Below are 24839 nucleotides of genomic sequence, written 5' to 3'. Positions count from 1 at the left end.
AAATCACTGTGGGCATATGGATGGATGGAAGCATATTTGATTTATTTTAATCCATTGCAGTCAAATTACTTACAGTTCTGTCAGGTTACTTTATTTTGAATTTTTAAATAACATAATACATTAGGCAAATCATAGGTGTACACAGATTGATATATTTTCAAAGTGAATATGCCTATTTGCCCACAACTCAGATCAAGGAAGAACATTTACTTTACGTCCCGAAGCTCCCCCACCTCCATCCCTTCGAGTTACTTCATACACAAAGGTAACCCTGTCCCAACTTCTAACAGTGTAGATCACTTTTCCCTGTTTCTTGTTTATGTTTTTGTTTTAAGACAGTCTCACTGTGTCACCCAGGCTGGAGTGCAGTGGTGCAATCTCGGCTCACTGCAAACTCCACCTCCTGGGTTCAAGTGATTCTCGTGCCTCAGCCTCCCAAGTAGCTGGGATTACAGGCATGTGCCCCCATGCCTGGCTAATTTTTGTATTTTTAGTAGAGACGGGGTTTCACCAGGTTGGCCAGGCTGATCTTGAACATCTGGCCTCAAATGATCTGCCTGCCTCAGCCTCCAAAAGTGCTGGGATTACAGGTGTGAGCCACCATGCCTGGCCACTTTTGCCCATTTTTTGTTTCGTAATTCAGATGTGATGTTTACCAGTTTTCAAGGATTATGAAATTCATGTGTTCATTGTAGGATATATAAAAACTTAAAATATACAACTCTGAAACCAAGTTTTTTTTCTGAGTACGTAAATATTTTTTCCAAAATTGGTATCTTTCTGCATTTTTCTATACCATTATAACTTTTTTAAACTTTTTATTTTAAAATATTAGATTTATAGAAAAGTTAAACTCTTCTTTAGTGTGGTTACATTCTCCATCTGTAATATAGTTATGTTCATTTGTTACTGTCTTTATTCTGTTTTTGATTTCCTCCCCTCCCCTCATGTCTTTTTGGTTTTAATAGTTTAATTTTTTGATCTGTGAAGGGTAATGTCATGAAACAATACTGTGGTCTAAGAAAGAGAGTTATGCAAAAAGATATACTCAGAGGACTGTCACTCTCTCTTCATCTCTGCTATGCCATTCCCTTCCTCCTCCTGTCTACCTGAATAAATTGTGAGAGATCTTTGTATCTATCTTCAACCTTTAGAAGATGCTATACCTAAAAATAGTTTTATTTTTGATAACTTGAAAGCACTCTAGATTTTAAGTTTCCAAGAATATTTGTAACTGTCCCTACTGAGATTTTCTCAATATTTAATGTACACATAATGGTAACTTTTAAGCTGATGTTCTTTCACTCTTACTTTATAGCTAATGTAGCAGCTTATCTGTGAACTTAATGTTTTTAGCAGACCTTCAGCTTTGATCAACCAGAAAATTACAGGTTCACTGTGTCTGTCTTTCCGACTAATATTTCCTAATCATATCCATCTCATCATTTGTTTCCTAAACTGTTAACCAAGGGATGGACACAGTGATACATTTGTAAATTTAACCAGTGTTGAATACAGTGGGGTGTTGGATGCTAAATTTACTAAATTTCTATTGAGACTTTTATCCTATGGTTGCTGCCTTCTTATTTTGATCATTATTTTAATTCTTATGTTTCCTGAATTTTTATCTTCTATTCATGAAGTTTGTTGAATCCCTGAATATCGTTAGGACCCTTCTTCATTTTATTTTAGAGTGATCTTTTTTACTACCTCCTGGACATTTCTATTTTGGGAATTTAAATGACGGCCCATCAGATCAGTCCAAATATACATATTTTGCCTTACCTTTTAACATGTAGCACTATTCCCTTTGTACTTCATTTGTGTTGCAGTGATCACAATTTGAAATTATGTAATTGAAACTTCATTGAAGGGCAGGGGTCATCTGTTTTATTCACTGAAACCTACCTTGTCCTTCTCCTTAAGTTCCTGGCTCAACCTCATCTCCATAGATGATCTTGCTTTCAATTTGGATGGAAAAAAGCCAAAAAGACCAAAACAGAAACACTTTGGAGTTCAGAAGGAATGAGAAGCCGTTCAGTGTAGCAGCTTTGCTCACAGAAGGAACTTGGAGGGTTCACAGAGTGTTCTTAATACCTTTACTATTGGTTTTCCTAATGGGGAACTGCATGTCATCAAGAAAGGGTGTTCCTTGAAGATTTGTGGAAATTTTATTATTTTATGATGTCAGATAAATGAGGTGTATTGATCTAAAAAATTGAGGGATCTTAAGCTTTGGTGTATTCTCTGGACAGTAAGTAGTGTTTTGTATTAGCTCCATTGGTTTTCATGTATCCTCATTGTCTGCTTCTTCTCAAATTCCTTTGGTTGTCCACAGGGTTATCTTAGTCCTTGGGTAATTACATCTTTTCCTTTTGACTTCAGCACTGCTACTTGGTTGACTACTCAAGAGCCATTTTGAACTCCACCCACACTTCTCACTAACTTTCTAACTGGTTTCCCTTTCTCAAATCATTTTCCCATTACAGCCTTCAGGATGAATTCTTATATCATTTGATCGTCGAAAATTCTTTAGTGTCTTCCATTTGAGTTTAAAGTCCTTGGCATTATATTATAAAGCCTGTTGTGATCTGGTACCCTTGCACCTTCTCTCCTTTTACTCTCTCCTTGTTCCATAAATTGTACAACTTAGTCATATCAAAGCCAGCGTCATGTGTAGCATCACACAATCTTGCTGACATGCTGTTTCTTCTGAAACATCTTTCTCCACTTTTTTCCTGGACATCCTTCAAGCTTGATGAACTCAAAACGTTGCTGTCTCAGGGAACAGATCTCTGATCTTCACAGCAGACACAGTCCTTTTGCATCTTCCATAACAGCTCTTATCTATGTGGTGCAAAAGTTATTTATTTTGGTGCAAAAAGCTCATATCTTTTGATGCCATTTTAATGGCAAAAGCTGCAGTTATTTTTGCACCAACCTAAATACCATTTAGTGTTCTCAGCTGCTTCTTTGAGCCCCTAGGGAGGGAGAGGGACCTTTTTTTGGCCTCCCCAACACTTACCATGTCTGATACATGTTTGTTGAATGAATGAATGAATGAATGATACATGGATTGGTTTTGAAATTACAGCCATAAGGTTAGTAAAATTTAACTGGCTGTGTATTTAGATAATGTTAAGGAGTTCTTCATTTGGAGTATACTTTATATCTTCTCTTTTGGATTTGTTCTTCTCCCAGTTATAGGCTCATCCTGTCTTTTCAGTTATTGTGCCCTCCTATCTTTCCCCATTCAGTAATCAGTCCTGAAGGACAGTGAAACTGCCTAGAACTGGGATCTGAAGTTTTGGCAGGAAGCCCTTCAGAGTTGGTGATCTGAGTAGTGTCTTTGCCAGCTGGAGCTTAGAACAAAGAAACTAAACAAACTCTTGGCAGATTGTGAAATACAGCTTTTTGCTTCTTCAGAAATTGTGATTCTAGTCAGTTGATGCTGACTTAGAAATGTGCGCAGAACTCAGAATCCAGCAACCATGAATTGCAGTCACTTTTGATGCCTGCAGTGCTTCACTAATTATTGAATTTGTAGCCTGTTCATTGGAATTATAGTCTGATAGAATTTTGGAGCTAGAAAAGTCTTTTCATTTGAGATAATTTCACCCATTTCCCTAATTGTGTAGGTGAGGAAAATTAAGATCACGTTTCTAGTTGATGATACCTTTCGGCTCTGGTCTCCTTATGCCTGGTCTAGTTCATTTCCTGTTTACCAGCATCTGTCTGAGTTACTAGGGAATGGTAGTGCTAGAATCATGCTTAGAGGAGTAATACATTTTCCCCTTGGTCTCCTACAAGCCTAAATGTCTTGAACCTGAGACTGGTAATTTACCAGAAGCTTTTTGTGCAAGTTATGCAGTTATCCCTTGTGCATGTTTGAAATGAGAAAATGACAAGCAAGTTTACAATAAGGATATTAAGTTTTAAAAATAATTTGATAAGTAATAGATGAATGTAATTAAAAGTACAAAGGGCTCCCAGTGAAAAGTGAGACTCCTCCTACCTGGTTTTCCTTTCTCCACTCCAGAAGCCATGCGTTTCTTAGGTATTCTTCCAAAGGAACCTCCACACCCCTTGCTTTTCTAATGCATCAAAATTCTCAGTCATTAGTGAACATTTTTTCTTTATGGAATGCTCATTAAAATAGTGGTTAATAAATTTACTGGTACTAAAAATGTCTCATATCAATTTTAGCTTTGATTTCTGAGTGATTTACTAGAAGGATTTCTTAGTTTTTCCTCAGCATTTTATTATGATCACTTTCAAACACGTAACAAGATTGAAAGCAGTCTGCCATGGTTACCTGAATCCCAACCACTAAGATTCTACCATTATCATTTTACTGTATTTGCATTATTACATATTTACGTGTTTGTTCATCCTTCCATTCCTCATTCAGAACTCCTCATCAGTACTGCCTGGTTATATAAACAACCATGGATAGAATTTGCTACTTTTGCCACAGAAGCAAATGAAAGGCTAGAGAATGGAGAGAGATGACATGGTCCATCATTTAAACTAGGAATATATTTTTCTGTTTTTTGTTTTTTTTTTTTAAAGATAAGGAGTGGTAAAACATAGTAACTCACTTATATTATGGATTAAGTTGGTTTAGTGGCTGGTCAAGAGCCTAACCACTTCTTTTGATGTTTCATTCTCAATTACTTTCTTCTACATAGGTCTTCCTTCAGATAAATCAAGCTATAATTGATGTTTAACAGAGAAGTTTTTTGAGATGTGGACTTTTCCAGTCCTCCAAAGAAAAACTATATTGATTTTGATGTGGAATGGTGAGAGCAATTATGTTTTAGTATTTTAGTCTTCTCCCTTGTACAAAGCAAGTTTCTCTTATTGCACTCCTCCTGGAGACTGTACATTAAGACCTTAATGTATAGATTGCTTACTAACAGGAGAATAAACATTTTTTATAATTAACAATAAGAACATTAATCCTCTTAAGCATTATTTGATTTTCCTAAAAGCCAAGTGGAAAAACAGATACAGATGCTTCTCAGCTCACTTAGAACAATGTCCTGATTAAACTCATCGTAAGTTGAAAATACTTTACGTCAAAAATGCATTTAATACACCCAACCTACCCAGTATCATAAGCTTAGCCCAGCCTACCTTAACCATGCTCAGAACACTTACATTAGTATATAGTTGGGCAAAATTATCTAACACAAAAGCTTACTTCACAATAAAGTGTTGAATATCTCATATAATTTCTTGAATACTGTAGTGGAAATGAAAAACAATGGTTGTATGGGTACCATCGTAAAGTCAGAAAATCAAGTTGACCCATCCTAAGTCAGGGACTGTCTGTATTCGAAATGTCAAATAGGAATGAGATTTTGTGAATATAGTTTAAAATACATTGCCAGTTTGTTCTGATGGGGAATGGAGAAAGGAAAGCAGGAAGATAAAACACCTGATAGAAAAATGTCACCCACAGTCCCTTTACTTTGAAGGTGATAAACAATGTTAACATTTTGTTTATCCTTTGAGCCTTTATTCCCTACTAATGTTTAAACAAAATTAGGATAACCATGTACACGCTGTTTTACAACCTGCTCCCCCCTTAATGTTAAATAAATTTTCCCATTTGATTAACATCTTCTTACAAAATGGAAAACTGTGTTCATTAAGACCTTAGAGAGGATGATGAACTGTTTCATACCATAGAGTATGTTATCAAAGAGAGTTAAGTGCATGTTATCACATCACTTGCCATTTGGACTGATAGGAAAAAGATTAAAAAGGCAGTAAAACAATGTCACTGGTTAATGAAATAGATCAAGAAAAGATGAACTGAGAGCTATGCAAGCAGTTCTCATTCTTAATATCAGCTGAGATTGGACAAACTGGCAACTCTTGCAGATACTTTTATCATGTGTATGTTAGTGGGACTGTTGATGTTTAGCTGATTTACTCATACTATTGTTGCTTCTCATTGATGGAAGAATTTTTTTTTTTAGTGCATTATCCCGGTCAATGTTTGTTTAAAAAAAAAAAAACAGCTTTGTTTCCAGTGGAGGTCTCATTAAAGGGAGGTTTTGGTGCACTTCATTGGAAGATTGAAACAAATGCTGGTGAGGTTGGCAGTTCTTATCTATGGGAGTGAACAGAGAGATCCTTTCTCTCTCCTCTCTTATTCATCTGGCAGGATAATCTAGTTGCTTTGAATTTAGGGAAGCAGGCTTTCTTTATAGGGACTTACTTTCTAAAATGGCATTAATCTTCAATTAAAGTCGCTGTGGGAAAGGAGAGAATGGGCCCATGGCACCTTGGTAGGCATATTCTCATGATGCTAATGACAGCAGTAAGAGAAAACAGACCTCACTTATGAAATAGGCATTTATAGTAATGGGTGACTAGTGATCTGAGAGTGTCATGCTTAGCCTTCTCCCTTTTTACTTTACCTTTTGATAACTCTGAAGAATCTTTTTTAAATTTACTTGTAAATACATTTTAGGAGTCCCAGTTTCATAAAATGGTAACATTAAGAGAGACTGAAATATTTTAAGTCTCCAAGAGCAATTAACCCCATTTAAAAGAAATTTATTTTGAATTCCTTACTGCTAATTCCTTAGATCAACCTTGTCCAACCCGTGGTTCACAGGTCGCATGCGGCCCAACACAAATTCGTAAATTTTCTTACAACATTATGAGATTTTTTTTTTTGTAATTTTTTTTTTAAGCTCATCAGCTTTCATTAGTGTTAGTGTATTTTATGTGTGGCCCAAGACAATTCTTCTTCTTTCAAGTGTGGCCCAGAGAAGCCAAAAGATTGGACACCCCTGCCTTAGATAATAATTTATTTTCGGCCGGGCGCGGTGGCTCACGCCTGTAATCCCAGCACTTTGGGAGGCCGAGGCGGGCGGATCAGGAGGTCAGGAGATCGAGACCATCCCGGCTAAAACGGTGAAACCCCGTCTGTACTAAAAATACAAAAAATTAGCCGGGCGTAGTGGCGGGCGCCTGTAGTCCCAGCTACTTGGGAGGCTGAGGCAGGAGAATGGCGTGAACCCGGGAGGCGGAGCTTGCAGTGAGCCGAGATCCCGCCACTGCACTCCAGCCTGGGCGACAGAGCGAGACTCCGTCTCAAAAAAAAAAAAAAAATAATAATTTATTTTCCTCTCTATTGAGAGGCTCATGACAGGAGGTAAAACTGAAGTACGCTATAATTTGGGCAGGACCTGTATTGGAGCTCTTACTGCTTTTATTTTATGATGATTCTTGGGGGAGTTTGGGAGATTGTTCTTTTTTGTTTTTGTTTCTTGTGTGTATCTACGTGTGTGATACATATACTAGAAAAGCTGTTCTTTTTCTTTTGGTTATAAATGAAGCTTGAGAAGTAATTCTGTAGCAAAACTGAAACTAGGTAGAGTAGTCATGTTTGTGACGTTAAAGCAGCCATTTGCCAAACCTATTAATGGTTTTATCTGTTTTCCTGTGACATGTATATTTATAATTACTGTGTTCAGAGGCATTTAACTTTCCCTTCGTTTGTAAAACATAAGAGATGCTTTTAAATGTTTACGTGCCATTAGATATTTTAAGATAATACCGCTCCAACTTTTATTCTTTTCTAAGTATAAAGTTGCAGAATTAGCTTGAATACTGATTTCAGCTTGCATGAAATGAATATAGAGCAGCTGTCCAAATTAAGTTAAAAACAAAGGAAGTTCCTGTGTGTCGTTTCCTGTCTCTTAAAAGCAAACAAAAAACTTTCCATAATTATTAAGGTCCTTTCAGAGTGTCTCTAATATTAACTGTGAATTTTGGTATTTCAGTGTGCTGAATTGTTGGATGTTCTTGCTCACCTTATTAAGGACATTTTCTTAAAAGGTAAATGATTTGTTTTTCTTTTCCTTTATCAGAGCACAGCAATGGAGGAAACAGCTATATGGGAACAACATACAGTGACGCTTCACAGGGTAAGTTTGTGTTGCAGTAAGTAATCTGTGTATAACTCAGGATACTGGCAGCTTTGAAAACAATAGAGGAAAGCCAGATGTCAGGAAGCCAGAGGGAGGAGGAAACTTTTTCTATATTCTTTTGTTTAAAATTAGAGTTACAATAATTTTTTATTAAGGTCAAAAGTGAGCATGATTACTTTTTCATATATCCTTTTGAGTATTTGCTGTTTTTATTCCTGACTTAAAAAGTGATTTGCTTTTAAAATTTTGAGTGATCAGATAAAAGACTCTGTACATTAGTATAAATTATTATAAACTGCTTCAACCTTTCTGAGTATATATGCATCCATTGTGGGAGTGAAGTTTGAAATTAAACCAGGTTGTATGCATAATAAAATCCTAAAAGATACTTAATTGATTTCAAACATGTTGACCCAAGCTGTTGCTTAAACAATTGCAGATGCGAGAAGAGAGATGAGTAGTAGTAAGAGATGAGTTCTTACTTGGTGGGACTAAGAACTTTGTCCGAAGTGAGACTGCTATCAATTTGAATTCTGGTTCTGCCTTTCTCTTGCTTTAGAAATGGGGAAGTGATTCAGTCACCTTCGAAAACCTTGGTTTTCACAAGTTTAAAATGGAACAAGTTGACACCAGTTCATGCTTTACCAATTTGTAAAGTTAAGTGTCTCTCAAAATTCTCTTTCCTCTCTTTCAAGAGAGCTGAATCTACTGATTACTCCCTTTCTTAGAGAATGTATGGAAAGAGAGAATATTTAAATACTGGCCTTGCACTTTACACTTACTATTTCTACCAGCTATATCCATTATTAGGAAGATGGAAAGGGGAAAGAATCATGTTGCTGGACTCTGCCCCTGATTATCTCACGAATGTTTGGATCTGCACATAGTAGATAATGGGTAAATTAATTATTAAAAAATAGTTGTTTTTGGCTGGGTGTGGTGGCTCACGCCTGTAATCCCAGCACTTTGGGAGGCTGAGGCAGGCAGATCACGAGGTCAGGAGATTGAGACCATCCTGGATAACATGGTGAAACCCTGTCTGTACTAAAAATACAAAAAAATTAGCCAGGCGTGGTGGCGGGTGCCTGTAGTCCCAGCTACTCGGGAGGCTGAGGCGGGAGAATGGCGTGAACCCAGGAGGCAGAGCTTGCAGTGAGCCGAGATCATGCCACTGCACTCCAGCCTGGGTGACAGAGGCGAGACTCCCTCTCAAAAAAAAAAAAAAATTTTTTTTTCTGATAAGATATAGTCAACTTTTTAATGTTTCATTATTAAATGGTGAAGGAAATCATTATCTAATACTAACCTTAACTTTCATAAACCTGCAACATGGCCTTCCTTTGTTTGAAATGTATTGATAGGTAGCATATTTAAATCAGATACATATGATTAAACATATAAAATAACTTCTTACCTTATGACTAGTGGCGATGTCAATGATTTGGTATTTTTTTTATCATATTACATTTATTTTTATTAAGACTTTTATTGTTTTTATTGGTATAATTTACATACAGTGAAATTGACCCTTACAGTTCTGAGTTTTGACAAGCATATACAGTCATGTAACCACCACAATTAAAATACAAGACAACTTCAATACAAAAACTTTCTCTTAACACCTATTTTTAATCATCCCGGTCCCCTCACGTCCACTTAACCAATGATATGGTTTCTTTTTGTACATTCTTGCCTTTTCTAGAATGTCATGTAAATGGACTCATACAACATGTAGCCTTTTGAGGCTGACTTCTTACACTTAGCCTAATGCATTTGGGATTTCTCCATGATGTTACTCTATCAGTAGTTTCTCTTATTGCATAGTAGCATTTCATTGTATGAATGTATAATTGTGTGTTCGTTCTCCAGTTGTGGTATATTTGTGTTTTGCAGTTTCCATTGATTATGAACAAACCTCTAGTGTACAGGTTTTTGTATGAACATAACTTTTTATTTCTTTTGGGTAAATACTTAGGAAAAGACTTGCTGTGGGTCCCATGGTAATTATTTAAGTTTTAAAGAAATGGTCAAATTCTCTGTACCATCTAACACCACCACTGGCAGTGTATAAGAGCTCCCGTTGTTGCGTATCCTCATCAGCACTTGATATGGGTTGAGCATCCCAGATCTGAAATCTAAAATGCAAAATTCAAAACTTTTCGAGTGATGACGTCATGTTTAAAGGAAATGCTCATTGGAACATTCTGAATTTTGGATTTTCAGATTATGGGTGCCGAACTGGTAAGTATAACGCAAATATTCCCAAATCCAAAACATTTGAAATCTGAAACATTTCTGGTCCCAAGCATTTCAGGTAAAGGATACTCAATCCGTATTGTCAGATTTAGAAAGAAAAGAAAAAAAAAAAAAAACGCTGGGCACAGTGGCTCACACCTGTAATCCCAGCACTTTGGGAGGGAGAGGCTGGTGGATTACCCGAGGCCAGGAGTTTGAGACCAGCCTGGCCAACGTGGTGAAACCCCGTCTACTAAAAATACAAAAATTAGCTGGACGTGGTGGCAGGCGCCTGTAGTCCCAGCTACTTGGAGGCTGAGGCAGGAGAATCACTTGAACCCAGTAGATGGAGGTTGCAATGAGCCGAGATCACGCCATTGCATTCCATCCTGGGCAACAGAGCAAGACCAATTGCCATTCAGTGGGTATCTAGCGGTATCACACGTGGTTTTAGTTTGCTTATCTCTGAAGATTAATGATCTCTTGATGTGCTCATTTGTTGTCCATATATCTTTGGTAAAATGTATTCAAACCTTTTGCCCATTTTTAATTGGGTTTTTCTTATTATTGAGATTTTATAAAATTGCGGCAAAATACAACATAGACTTCACGTATTCAAGACTGTTGCCCATTTTTAAGCTCTATGTTGCTTGTTTTTTAGTTGTTGAGTTGCAGTAGTCTTTATATATTTTGGATATTAACCAGTTGTTAAATATATGATTTGCAAATATTTTTTTCCTTTCCATGGATTGCCTTTTTACTCTGTGATTATTCTTTTTGGTACACAGAAGTTACTGAGTTTTGAGATTTTTTTTTTTTTTTTTTAACGTATTCAGGATACAGATTCTTTATCAGGTATTATTTTGTAAGTATTTTTTTCCCATTCTGTGATTTGCCTTTTCTTTCTCTTAATGACAGTGTCTTTTGCAGTACATGCTTTAAGTTTTGATAAAGCTCTGGCCAGGTGTAGTGGCTCAAGCCTGTAAACCCAACACTTTGGTAGGCCAAGGCAGACAAATTACTTGAGGCCAGGAATTTGAGACCAGCCTGGCCAACATGGTGAAAGCCTGTCTCTACTAAAAATACAAAAATTAGCTGGGAGTGTTGGCATGTGCCTGTAGTCCCAGCTACTCGGGAGGCTGAGGCAGGAGAATCGCTTGAGCCCAGGAGGCAGAGGTTGCAATGACCCTGACATCGTGCCACTGCACTCCAGCATGGGAGACAGAGTAAGACTCTGTCTCAAAAGGAAAGAAAGAAAAATTTTTGATAAAGTCCAGTTTGTTAATTTTTGCCTTTATCAATCATGTTTTTGGTTTTGTATCTCAGAAATCTTTGCCAAACCCAAAATCAAGAATAATTTTTCCTCTGTTTTCCTTTAAAAGTTTTATTTCAGTTAAATTCTGTTTGTGCCATGAGATACGGGCAGAGAGATTTTTTTTTTTTCATACAGATGTCCAGTGTTTATTTTGAAGAAGCATTTTGTTTGAAAGATTATACTTTGTCCGTTTAATTGCCTTTCTCGCTTTGTCAAAAATCAATTGACCATATATTTCTGGACTCCCTTGTCTGGTCTGTTGATCTGTGTGTCTGCCTTTTTACCAGTTACTTATGCATCGATTACTGTAGCTTTATATTAAACGTGGAAATCAGGTAGGGCAAATCCTCCAAATACTTTTTAAAATTATTTTGGCTATTCTAGCTCCTTTGCCTTTCTGTATAAATTTTAGAATAATTTTGTCAACTTTTATCTTCCTTCCCTCAAAGAAAATAAAACTGCTGGGATTTTATTGGGATTGCATTTGAATCTACAAATCATTGGGGATAATTAACATTTTAACAATATTGAATATTCCAAACTATGAATATAATGTTATCTCCTCATTGTTTTATTTCTTTAATGTATTGTAGTTTTTGGCAAATAGATCCTGCACACATTTTTGTTAGGTTTATAGTTAAATATCTCATGTTTCTTGGCGCTATTGTAAATAGTTTTTTTTTTTTCATTTCAATATTTGATTGTTCCTTGTTACTGTGTAGAAATGCAGGTTTTTTTTTGTTTTTTTTTTTATAGCAACCTTGCAGTCTTAAAATTACTAGTTGTAGGAACTTTCTTGTTTAGATTCCTGGGTGTTTTCCTATGTGTAGGCAGTCATGTCATCTGTGTATAGAGGCAGTTTTTTTCCCTCCTTTTGAATGCTCTTTATTTCTTTTTCTTGCCTTATTGCACTAGTTTGGACTTTCAGGATGTTGTTAATTAGGAATGGTGAGCAGGCATACTTACCTTACTCTTAATACTGGGTAAAAGCTGTCTTTCACCAGTAAGTGGTTTTTTTTTTGGTTGATGCCTTTTATCAGGTTAAGGAAGTTCCCTTGTATTTCTATTTTGCCATTTGTTAGATTGAGGAAGTTCCCTTTTATCTTAGTTTACTGAGAGATGGTTGTTTTTAATCATGAATGAAAGTTGAATTTTTGTCAGTGCTTTTTTTTGTGTGTGTATGACTGGGATTATATGGGTTTTCTTCTTAATCTGTTGATATGGTGGATTTCTTGTTGTTTGTTGAACAGCCTTGCATTCCTCAGATAAATTCTACTTGATTGTTTACATGTTATCCATTCCAGATGTTGCTGGATTGATTTGCTGATGTTTTGTGAAGATTCTTGTTTTATTGGTCAGTACTTTTTTTTAACATTGTTTATATCTGGTTTTGGTATCATGGAAAAGCTGTACCTCAAAACAAGGAGTTGGGACGTGTTCCTTCCTTTTGTGGTTTCTGGTAGAGTTCATGTACAATTGATTTTATTTTTTTCTTAAATATTTGTTAGAATTCACTAGTAGAGTTACCTGGTGCTAGAGTTTTCTTTGTGGGAAGGGTTTTCATTACAAATTCAGTTTCTTTAATTTTATATAGGAATATTCAGGTTATGTATTTTTTCCTTGTTACAGTTTGTTTTGTTTTGTTTTGTTTTTTGGTAGTCTTTTTTTTTTTTTTTGAGACAGAGTCTTGCTGTATCACCCAAGCTGGAGTGCAGTGGTACCATCATGGCTCACTGCAACCTCTGCGGTTGAAGCGATTCTCCTGCCTCAGCCTCTCGAGTAGCTGGGACTGTAAGCATGCACCACCAGCCTGGCTAGTTTTTGTGTTTTTAGTAGAGCCGGTGTTTCACCAGGTTGGCTGGGCTGGTCTTGAACTCCTGACCTCAGGCAATCCTCCCACCTCAGCCTCCCAAAGTGCTGGGATTACAGGCGTGAGCCACCATGCCTGACTGGTAGTTTGTGTCTTTCAAAATATTTGTCTTTATCATGTAAGTTGTTAAAATTATGAGTATAACATTGTTCATAATATTCCCTTATTTTTAATTTTGGATGGTTCTATAATGCTGTTTTGTTTTGTTTCATTATTTATATTGGTAATTTGTGTCTTATTTCTTGGTCAGTCTGGCTAGAGGTTTGACAATTTTATTGATCTTTTCAAAATACCTACTTTTGTTTTCAGTGACATTCTTTATTCTGTTTTCTGTTTCATTGATTTCTGCTCTTATTTTAATATTTTCATCCTTTTGTTTACCTTGAGTTTAAGCTCTTTTGATAGTTTTTTTTACTGGAAGCGAGATTATTCATTAGAGACCACAGATGCAATTTGCTATTACCACATTACATCTTTTCCTTACTACCTTTTCAGTTTTTTCAATAAGCAAAATAACATAAGACACCTTTAAATTAGCTAAAGTATGTTTCCCTTTGTATGCTCTTGCTTGGTTTTGTTAGGAATTCATGTGTAGGAAAATACTAAATGTATTTGCCACAGACCTGTGTCTCATTAGCTCAGGGAAAGTGGGAAAGATCCTCAATATTAAGAAAACAGAATCTGATTTTTCTGACCTTGTTAGAAGTGTCATACCAATTCATTGTGGTAAGTAATGGCTCAGGCAAGTCTGTTATGATAATGCCGTTTTAGATGATTAATGTAGGTTCCATTTTGTACCTGGCTTCTTTCTGTGCCTCAGTTATTTTTTTGCCATGAGAGGGCAGCCCAGAAAATGTCATCAGAAGATACATTGAGATAAGAGAGGTATATAACTCACAATTCTTCAGTTGTTGAATATGCTAACTGTTGTACTAGGAAAACAGCTGGGTTTCCTCTGAGCCTCATCACAGAGAGACTATGACAAAATCAAAGTCCTCACCAGCCATCCCTCCAGGAATGGTTTTTTGGTTGTTTTTTGTTTGTTTTTGGTTTTTTGAATTAAAAAAGAAATATTTTCAGAGCAAGCAGTAATAAAAGAAAAGAAAAAAAGAAAATCATCAAAGAAAAGCCCAGGACCTGATGGCTTCACTGCTGAACTCTACCAAACATTTAAAGAAGAATTATATCACAAAAGCTAAGAAGAGAATACTTCCAAATTCATTCCAAAGGGCCAGTATTTCCCTGGTACCAAAACCAGACAAAGACGCAACAAAAAAAGAAAACTACAGGCCAGTATCTTTGAACAGAGATGCAAAATCCTTAAACCAAATTCAACTACATATTTAAAAGATCATTCATTGTAATCAAGTGGGATTCATCCCAGGGATGCAAGGATGGTTCAACATACTCTGATATGGTTTGTGTTTGTGTCCCTGCCCAAATCTTACATTTAATTGTAATCCCCAGTGTTGGAGGAGGGGCCTGGTGGAACGTGATTGGATCATAGGAGTGGAGTTCTCATGAATGGTTTAGCCCCATCTCCCCTTGCTACTATATAGTTAGTGAGTTCTCATGAGATCTGATTGTTTAAACCTCCCTGCTCTCTGTCTCTCTCCTACTCTGGCCATGTGTGTTCCCCTGTTGCCTTCTGCCCTGATTATGCATTTCCTGAGGCCTCACCAGAAGCCAAGCAGATGCTGTCATGCTTGCTGTACAGCCTGCAGAATAGTGAGCCAATGAACTCTTTTTTTATATAAATTGCCCAGTCTCAGGTATTTCTTTATAGCAATGTGAGAACCACCTAATACATATTCAGATCTGTAAATGCGATACATCACATCAAAAGAATGAAGGACATAACCATATGTCCATTTCTATAGATGCCAAAAAAGTATTCAGTAAAATTCAGCATCCCTTCATGATAAAAACTCAACTGGATGTAGAAGGAACATGCCTCAACACAATAAAAGCCACAGACAGATAAACCCACAGCTAGTATCATGAGGGGGGAATCTAAAAGCCTTTCCTGTAAGATCTGGAAGAAGGCAAGGAAGCCCACTTTCACCACCTTTCTTCAACGTGGTACTGGAAGTCCTAGCCAGAGCAATTAAACAGGAGAAGAAAAGAAAAGGCATCCAAATTGGAAGGAAAAATTTAGATTACCCTTGTTTGCAGACAATAGTATCTTAAATTTAGAAAAACCTAAGGACTCTACCAGAAAACTGTTAGAACTGAGGTTTAGTAAAATTGCAGGATGCAAAGTCAGCATATAAAAATCAGCAGCATTTCTGTATGCCAAGAGCAAACAATCTAGAAAATAAACCAAGAAAATAATCTTATTTCCAATAGCTACAAATAAAATAAAATAAAATACCTAGGAATAAACTTAACCAAAGAAGTGAAAGATTTCTACAATGAAAACTATAAAACACTGATGAAAGATATTGAAGACGGCACCAAAAAGTGGAAAGATACTCCATGGTCATGGATTCAGTATTGTTGGAATCAGTGTTGTTAAAATGTCCACACTACCCAAAGGAATTTACAGATTCATTGCAACCCTTGTCAAAACACCAATGACATTCTTCACAGAATTATGTTTTAGGGTTGGAAAAACAATCCTAAAATTTTTGTGGAACCACAAAGACCCAGAGTAGGCAAAGCAATCCTGGGCAAAAAGAACAAAACTGAAGGAATCACATTACATACATTATGTGACTTCAAATTATACTCCAGAGCTATAGCATGGTGCTGGCATAAAAACAGACACAGACCAGTGGAACAGAATAGAGAGCCCAGAAAAAAATCCACACATTTACCTCCAACTCATTTTCAACAAAGCCACTAAGAACATTGGGGAAAGGACAGTCTGCAATAAATGGTGCTGGGAAGACTGGACATCCACATGCAGAAGAATGAAACTGGACCCCTATTTCTTGCCGTATACTAAAACAAATCAAAATGGATTAAGCACCTGAAGTTATGAGACTACTAGAAGAAAACATTGGGAAACACTAAAGGTCATTGGTATGGGCTAAGGTTTCTTGAGTGTGACCTCCAAAGAACAGGCAACCACAACAAAATGGACAGTGGGATCACATCAAGCTCAAAGCTGCTGCACAACAAACAGTCAACAAAATGAAGAAACAACCCACAGAATGAAGAAAATATTTGCAGACTACCCAACTGATGAGATAATAACCAGAATATGTAAGGAGCTGAAACAACTCGATAGGAAAAAGAAATCCAATTTAAAAATGGGCAAAAGATCTGAAGCACAAGAGCTGAATAGATGTTTCTCAGGAAGACATATGGGTAAATGGTCAACAGGTATATGAAAAAATGGTCAACATCACTAATCAGATAAATACTAATCGAAAGTATAATGAAATATTTCATCCCAGTTAAAATGGCTTTTATCAAAAAGACAGGCAATAACAAATGCTAGTGAGCAGGCAGAAAAAAGAGAACTCTTATACGTTGTTGATAGGAATGTAAACCAGTACAGTCACTATGAAGAATAGCATGGAGGCCGGGCATGGTGGCTCACGCCTGTAATCCCAGCACTTTGGGAGGCCGAGGTGGGTGGGTCATGAAGTCAGGACATCGAGACCATCCTGGCTAACACGGTGAAACCAGCCGAGCGTGGTGGTGGGCGCCTGTAGTCCCAGCTACTCGCGAGGCTGAGGCAGGAGAATGGCGTGAACCTGGGAGGTGGAGCTTGGAGTGAGCCTAGATTGCTGCACTGCACTCCAACCTGGGCAACAGTGCCAGACTCTGTCTCAAAAAAAAAAAAAAAAAAAAAAAAAGAATATTATGGAGGCTCCTCAAAAACTGAAAATAGAGCAACCATATGATCCAGCATTTCCACTGCTGAGTATATATCCCAAAGAAAGGCCTGGGTGCGGTGGCTCATGCCTGTAATCCCAGCACTTTGGGAGGGCAAGGTGAGCGGATCACCTGAGGTCAGGAATTCAAGATCAGCCTGACCAAAATGGAGAAATCCCGTCTCTACTAAAATACAAAAAATTAGCCAAATGTGGTGGTGTGCACCTGTAGTCCCAGATACTCAGGAGGCTGAGGCAGGGGAATTGCTTCAACCCGGGAGGCAGAGATTGCAGTGAGCCGAAATCGCGCCATTGCACTCCAGCCTGGTGACAGAGTGAGACTCCGTCCAAAAAAAAAGGAAACGAGTATATCAAAGGGATAACTGCACTCCCATGTTTATTGCAGCATTATTCGTGATAGCCAAGTTATAGTATCAACATAAGTGTACATCAGTTGATGAAGGGATAAAGAAAATGTAAATATGTTCCATGGAATATTAGTCAACCATAAAAAATAATGAAATCCTGTCATTTGCAACAACATAAATGAGACTGGAGGACATTACGTTAAATGAAATAAGCCAGGCACAGAAAGACGAATACCACATTTTCTCACTCGTGGGAACTAAAAAAAAAAAAAAAAAGAAAAATGAACTCACGGAGACAGAGAGTAGAATGATGGTTACCAGAGACCGGGAAGGGTGGTAGGGAAGTAGGGATGGAAGACTTGGTTAATGGGTGCAAAAATATGGTTAGAAGGAGTAAGATACAGTGTTTAGTAGCACAATAGGGCAACTATCGTTAATTTATTGTGTATTTCACAGTAACTAGAAGAGTGGAATTGAAATGTTCGTAACAGCAAAGAAATGATAAATACTTGAGGTTATGAATATCCCAGTTACCCTGATTTAATCGTTACACATTATACTTGTATCAAAATGTATGATGTGGATCCCATAAATATATACAACTACTGTTTACTATAATAATTAAAAATAAAAACATTTTTAAAATCTTTGGACAATGAAAAAGTCTTGCCAGTGGGAGCTGAGTTATGCCAAAGCATAACTTAATTGACTTCATTCTCTGAGGCTACAGAATGGTACTTTCAACTGTCTTAGTTGTTTGGTGTTCTAAGATGATGCCGAATAAAATTTAGACTATCTAGAGCAGGATCAGCAAAGTATTTATATAAAGAGCCAGATAGTAAATAAGTATTTTAGGCTTTGCAGACCATAAATCTCTGTCAAAACTACTCAACCCTGCAGCCGTATTGTAGAAGCAACCATAGACAACAGGCAAACGAATGTGGCTGTATTCCAACTGTGGGCCATAGTGTGCTGACTGCTGATTAGAGCAGTGGCTCTCCAGGTTTTATTGTAAAGAGGGATCAACTGCACAGTCCCTGCCCATCAGAGATTCTTACTCAGTTTGTCTGGGCTGGGATCCCTAACACGTATTTTAAATAGGCTTCAGTTTGAAATGGAGGGCTATGGCCTCTGGCATCCCACTTTTAAGAAACACAGAGGAATCAGAAAGCTTGTTCTCTCTGAGGTGAGCAAGTGGGCTTTTGGCAGTGGTAGTAAGTGAAGGGGATAATTTGAAACTGTATTCTTTTGGCAATAACCTGGAGTATAGATACTCTGTATTGCCAAATAAAGACAAATCCATATTCTTTGACATCTGACAGTCAATTTTATGAAAGTTGGAGGTAATGTTATAAAAAAGCCATTTAATTGATGAGAACCTAACATTTTCTGCTATTTACTGTCTAGAATAATATATGCTTCATTCTTTCATTTGTATTTCCAGAAGATATTTTCTTCATCTTATATTTCTAGAAACCATTGAAACCCTATTCATTCTTAAAGACTAAGTAATTTTTTAGTGTTCTACTGTATGCCAAGCACTGTTGTACTCTTGTGGGCCCTGGAATTATATCAGAAAAAAACAGGCAGAATTTGCCTCCTCATGGATTCTGATCTCTCTACTGGTCCTCAGTGACAGTTGAATATGTACATCAGATAGTTGTTTACCCCATCTCCTACTACATTATAACTTTCACAAGGGTTGGAAATCTTAAGTCCGTTTTCTATCTCCTTAGTGCTTGGTACCTAGTTCTGCCCCAAAAAACTTAATTCCCTAGGACACTAACCATGTCGAATAAAGTCACTCTTGGGAGGTCTACAACAGCACCGCCCAGTAGCAGTATAATATAAACCACATATGTAAATTTAAATTTTTTAGTCTTCTTATTAAAAACTGTAAAAAAAAAGAAAAACAGGTGAAACTAACTTTATAATAGGTCTTATTTAGTATGCACAAAATATATTTCAACATGTGATAAGTTTAAAAATTGATGAGTTGATCTTACAAAATTGTTCACTTTTCAATGTCAGCACCTTTCAGGTAACACTAGCCATTTTTGAAGTGCTTAATAGTCACAAGTCTGATGCTTATCGTATTAGTGTAGGTGTGTAGCTTCAGATGGTAACCACATGTGTTCACCTCTCCTGCTGCTGTAACACACCCACACCTTTTTAGTTTTCAGATACTCGCCCTTAGAAAATGCATACATTTTTCTAATTCTTTGGGAAATGAAGTGAATTCCTCAGGAATGAGTTGCTCGTCGTTACTCTGCTTTTTCATTTTCTAAAATAGAATTATGTAAAAGATTAAATATTTGTATACTAAAGTATTAAAAGATGAGTATAGAAAGCAAGGAAACTAGTCAGGTAATTTTAAGGGTGAGCCAGTGAGTGTTTAAACTAGGGAGGTGATTGCATAAGAGGTAAACTTGGGATGGGGTGCCAAGGCAATGCACTGGAGGGAAGAACAGTCATTAACAGACCCAGGACAGCTGGTTAACCACATGCAAAATAATGAATTTGGACCCCTACCTCACAAGATTTACAAAAATTAAGTTTAAATGAACCATAGGTGTAAGTATAAGAGCTTAAACTCTAAACCTCTTTGAAGAAAACACAGGGATAATTATTCGTGACCTGGGTTAGGCAATGGTTTATTGGATATGATGTCAAAAGTATAAGCAACAAAAGGGAAAACAGATACATTGGACCCCATCAAAATTAGAAACTTTTGTGCTTCAAAGGACACCATCAAGAAAGTGAGAAGATATTCCACAGAATGGGAAAAGATACTTGCAAATCATACATCTGATAAGGGATTTGTTTCTAGAATATATAAAGAACTTTTATAACTGAACAATAAAAAGACAAATCAGTTGAAAAATAGCAAATGATTTGAATAGATACTTCCTCAAAGAAGATGTATGAATGTGCAATAAATGCATGAAAAGATGTTCAGTATCATTAGCCTTCAAGGAAATGTATATCAAAAAGTATAGTGAAATACCCCTTCACACCCACTAGGATGGCTGTACTCAGAAAGACAATAAAGGTTGGCAAGGATGTGGAGAAATTAAAACCTTTGTACATTGCTGATAGGACTGTAAAATGGTGCAGCTGCTGTAGAAAACAGTTTGAGAATTCCTCATAGAATTATTATGGGACATAGCAATTCCTCTCATAGGTATACACCCAAGAGAAATGAAAGCAAATGTCTACATAATAAGTTACACATGAGTGTTAATGGCACCATTATTCATAATAGATCTGGCTATATTAGCTGATGAATAATGAATAAACATGATATATACATAGAATGGAATATTATTTAGCAATAAAAAGAAATGAAGTACTGATACATGCCACAACATTGATGAACCTTGAAAACATTATGCTAACTGAAAGATGCCAGTCATAAAAGAACATATATTATGTGATTCCATTTATAAGAAGTATTCAGAATAGGTGAATAGAGAGTTATATTAGTGGTTGATGAGGCTAGGGGATTGAGAGATGATGGCTAAAGAATGCGGAGTTTCTTTTTAGGGTGGTGAAAATGTTATAAAATTTTGATGGGGTCCAATGTATGTGTTTTCTCTTTTGTTGCTTATACTTTTGACATCATATTCAGTAAGCTGTTGCCTAACTCAGGTCATGAAGATTTATTCCTGTGTTTTCTTCAAAGAGGTTTAGAGTTTAAGCTCTTATACTTAGACCTATGGTTCTTTAAACTTAATTTTTGTAGATGTTGTGAGGTAGGGGTCCAAATTCATTATTTTGCATGTGGTTAACCAGCTGTCCTGGCACCATCTGTAACCAGTGATGGTTACAACTGTGTACATACTAAAAACCATTGAATCATACACTTTAAAGAGTGAATTTATGATATATGAATTATATATCAGTAAAGTGATAAAAGGAATTTTATCGGTCAAGCAGCTCCAAACTGCTGTCTGATAAAGTATTTAAGCTGAAGCAAACATGTAATCTAAGATACACTCCCTTTATCTGGTAGAAGGCTATTGTTTGTACTTAGTACATTATAAGTTTTTCAGACCCTTCATTATATTTGTCTGTGAAGTAGGTGTTAACCATGTGAAGTAAGGTAAGTCTCAGAAAGGTCTAGTAAAATGCCCCTTAAGAGCGAGAACTTGAACCCAGGTTTGGACTCAGCATACAGTGCTCTTTCCATTTATATGTCACGTTTAATTTACAGTTTTTAAATGTGGCTGGCACAGTGGCTCACACCTGTAATTCCAGTACTTTGGGAGGCCAAGGCAGGAGCATCACTCTAGGCCAGGAGTTCAAGACCAGTGGAGGCAACATAGTGAGACCCTATCTCTACACACCCCCAAAAAATTTAGCCAGGCATGGTCGTGTCCACCTGTAGTCCCAGTTACTTCAGGAGGCTGAGGCGATAGGATCACTTGAACCCAGGAGTTTGAGGTTACAGTCAGCTGTGATTGCACCACTGCACTCCATTCTGGGCAACAGAGTGAGACCCTGTCTCTAAAAAACAAAAAGTTTATGGAACATAATTTCTGAAATTAAGAACTCATGTAATTCACATAAACTAAACAAAGGTCTCTCTATACATGCAATAAAGTAAATAAAATAAAGGGTAGGTAATTTGGCAATAGAGGAGCCAATGTTTGTTTAGAACATTGGTGGTGAGGCTAATTTTATAGAGAAAATGACAGTCTTAAAGAAGGGGACTTGGAGGTATTCTGTAAGAAGCTGGAAATAAGAAAATGGAACAGGAATGAGAAATGAAAACTATGATTTGGGTATCAGAACTAAAAGAATGAGAGTAAGAATAAACAGGAAGACACACACAATTTGACTAGCCAAGGGACATAACTGTTAAAAAACCGAATCAATCTGACAGTCATAGAAGATTGAACAGCATTTTGAGAACTACCAAGTTGGTAGAAAATCTGCAGTGCTTGGATCTTGTGACTTCTAATCTGTTTGGGCTTACCACTAACTAATTTTGAAAAGGCCTTTAAATCTCTTGGGATCCCCATGGAATCAAAGTATATTAAAGTTGATAACATTAAAATCTCTCTTATTCAGATGAGGGAACTCAAATCTGTGGAGGTCTTCCATAAGGTCATGATTGGCAAGTAGTATAGAGACACACAGGACCCAGGCCTGCTGACTTCAGCTGTAAGAAGGGAGCTGGAACAGACAATTGCTGAGGCTCCATCTGGTTTTCAAATTCTGTGATCTCAGTGGCCACTGTGAAAACAAATGGCTAGAACAGGTTCCATTGAATGTTCATTGAAATTCCATTGAAAGGTTAATAGGAAGAATAAGAGGAGAAAAGTAAGACTAGAATTAGTGAGGAAAGTTATAATTAGCGGATTGTACAAGCCTAATATGGAAAAATGGAAGAATAAAATAAAAGGCAACAAGTGGAATCCTTAAGTAGGTAATTGGGCATATTCAATAGGAACAGAGAGGAATCTTTGGAGAATAAATTAAGCAGTTATTTCTGAAACAGGAGCAACTTTCAGGAATTTTTTTTTAAGGAACCAAGAAATACTTTAACCAGTGGGTGGGCAGACCTTTTGTGTGAAAGGCCAGATTGTAAATAGCTTGACTTTGTGCACCACAAGGTCCCTGTTGGAACTGTTCAGTGCAAAAGCAGTCATAATTATATGTAAAGGAATGGGCATGGCTAGTGTCCAGTAAAACAGGACACATAACTGAAAAAATTCCAGGACCCTGTTTCCAAGTTCTAACATAAATTCAGTTGTCTAGCCAGGCGTAGACATATAAACACAGAAGTTATTGCTGCTCATGGTTGCTTAAGGTTTCAAAAGTTTGAAATACGGCAAGTCTTTGATGCTCTTTCTTCCATCCCCAGAAGCTAAAAGTTATCCTGTACATTTTCTCATGTAAACATACTTTTAAAAATCAACTGTCTTGGCAGAACTATACAATTTTTACGTTGAAGATAGATGAGAAAAAAATGGCACATTTTCCATTTCTTTTGAAAACCCCTTGGGAAGGTACCATGATAGTCTCTTAGTAAGTCTAATACAGAGAGCATATTATTGCCTCAGAGTAATCTACCTCTGTCAACTTTGATTACTGGAAACAGTAAAAATTTTTTTTTGCACATGCTATCATTTATTTCTCTGTTTTAAAATGGTTTTTACCATATCTAGATCATATAGCTGTTACATCATTTAACCCTTTAATCCTCGTTTAATCTTGGTGTTATAAATAAGTACAGTATATATGTGATGCTTATCACCAGTCCTATCCATGTATCTCGTCATTTTGATTGTCAGAATATTATTAGATTCCTTAGGATGAGATCATAAAGACAATATTTCCTGTGTTCTTGCATGTTGACTGGTTTATTTGTGTTTTTTGTACTTGAAGGTCAGTTGTGTTGAATATAAAATCCTTGACTCGGCTGGGTACGGTGACTCATGCCTGTAATCCCAACACTTTGGAAGCCGGGGATGGATCACCTGAGGTCAGGAGTTCGAGACAAGCCTGGCCAACACGGCGAAACCCCATCTCTACTAAAAATACAAAAAAAAATTAGCCAGGCTTGGTGGTGGGCACCTGTAATCCCAGCTACTTGGGAGGCTGAGGCAGGAGAATCACTTGAACCCGGGAGGCAGAGGTTGCAGTGAGCCGAGATCAAGCCATTGCATTCCAGCCTGGAGGAGAAGAGCGAAACTCTGTCTCAAAAGAAAAAAAAAATCCTTGAGTTGCTATTTCTTTTTTCTTAAAATTTAGTCATTTAAATATATTTTTGGTATTAGTCCTCCTGAGTTGATATTCTCAGATAACTCACATATTTACAGTGATGTAAACTCTTTCAGTACCTAGTTTCAATTTTTTCAAAAATAGTATCAGCGAAGTTTTTTTTGTTTTTTAAACTAATTTTTCTCTTCCCTTCTTTTGATTTGCTTCTTTAGGGACTCCTACTGTTCATATATATCATGCTGCTTTTGCTTGTCTTTAGTGTTTGTAATGTTCCTCAAATCCTTTTTATAAAATCTCTGGCGTTCTTTTTTTTAAAAATGTTATTTGTTTATTTAAAAACTTTCATTTTAGGTTCAGGGTACATGTGTAGATTTGTTATGTAGGTAAACTTGTGTCACAGGGGTTTGTTGTACAGATTATTTTGTCACCTAGTACTAAGCCTAGTACCGAATAGTTACTTTCTCTGCTCCTCTCCCACCTCCTACCCTCCACCCTCCGGTAGTCCCCAGTGTGTTGCCTCTGTGTCCATGTGTTCTC

At 36.9% G+C, this 24839-nt stretch overlaps 1 protein-coding gene across 30 annotated transcripts in view; it reads left to right on the top strand.

Annotated features, from left to right (window-relative positions):
* Positions 1 to 24839, top strand: part of TJP1 (tight junction protein 1) — a 269683-nt gene that overhangs the window by 160452 nt on the left and 84392 nt on the right. For all 30 annotated transcript variants that reach the window (XM_005254620.4, XM_047432984.1, XM_005254619.4 and 27 more), the window contains one exon: positions 7896 to 7952. In XM_005254620.4, coding sequence (XP_005254677.2) covers positions 7896 to 7952 — 57 coding nt within the window. The remainder of the gene's footprint in view (positions 1 to 7895; positions 7953 to 24839) is intronic.

This window comes from Homo sapiens, chromosome 15, assembly GCF_000001405.40.
Source record: "Homo sapiens chromosome 15, GRCh38.p14 Primary Assembly".
In the NCBI taxonomy this organism is placed as follows: Eukaryota; Metazoa; Chordata; class Mammalia; order Primates; family Hominidae; genus Homo; species Homo sapiens.
The sequence above is the reverse complement of the archived record's forward strand: the minus strand, read 5'-3'. Positions and strand labels throughout refer to the sequence as shown.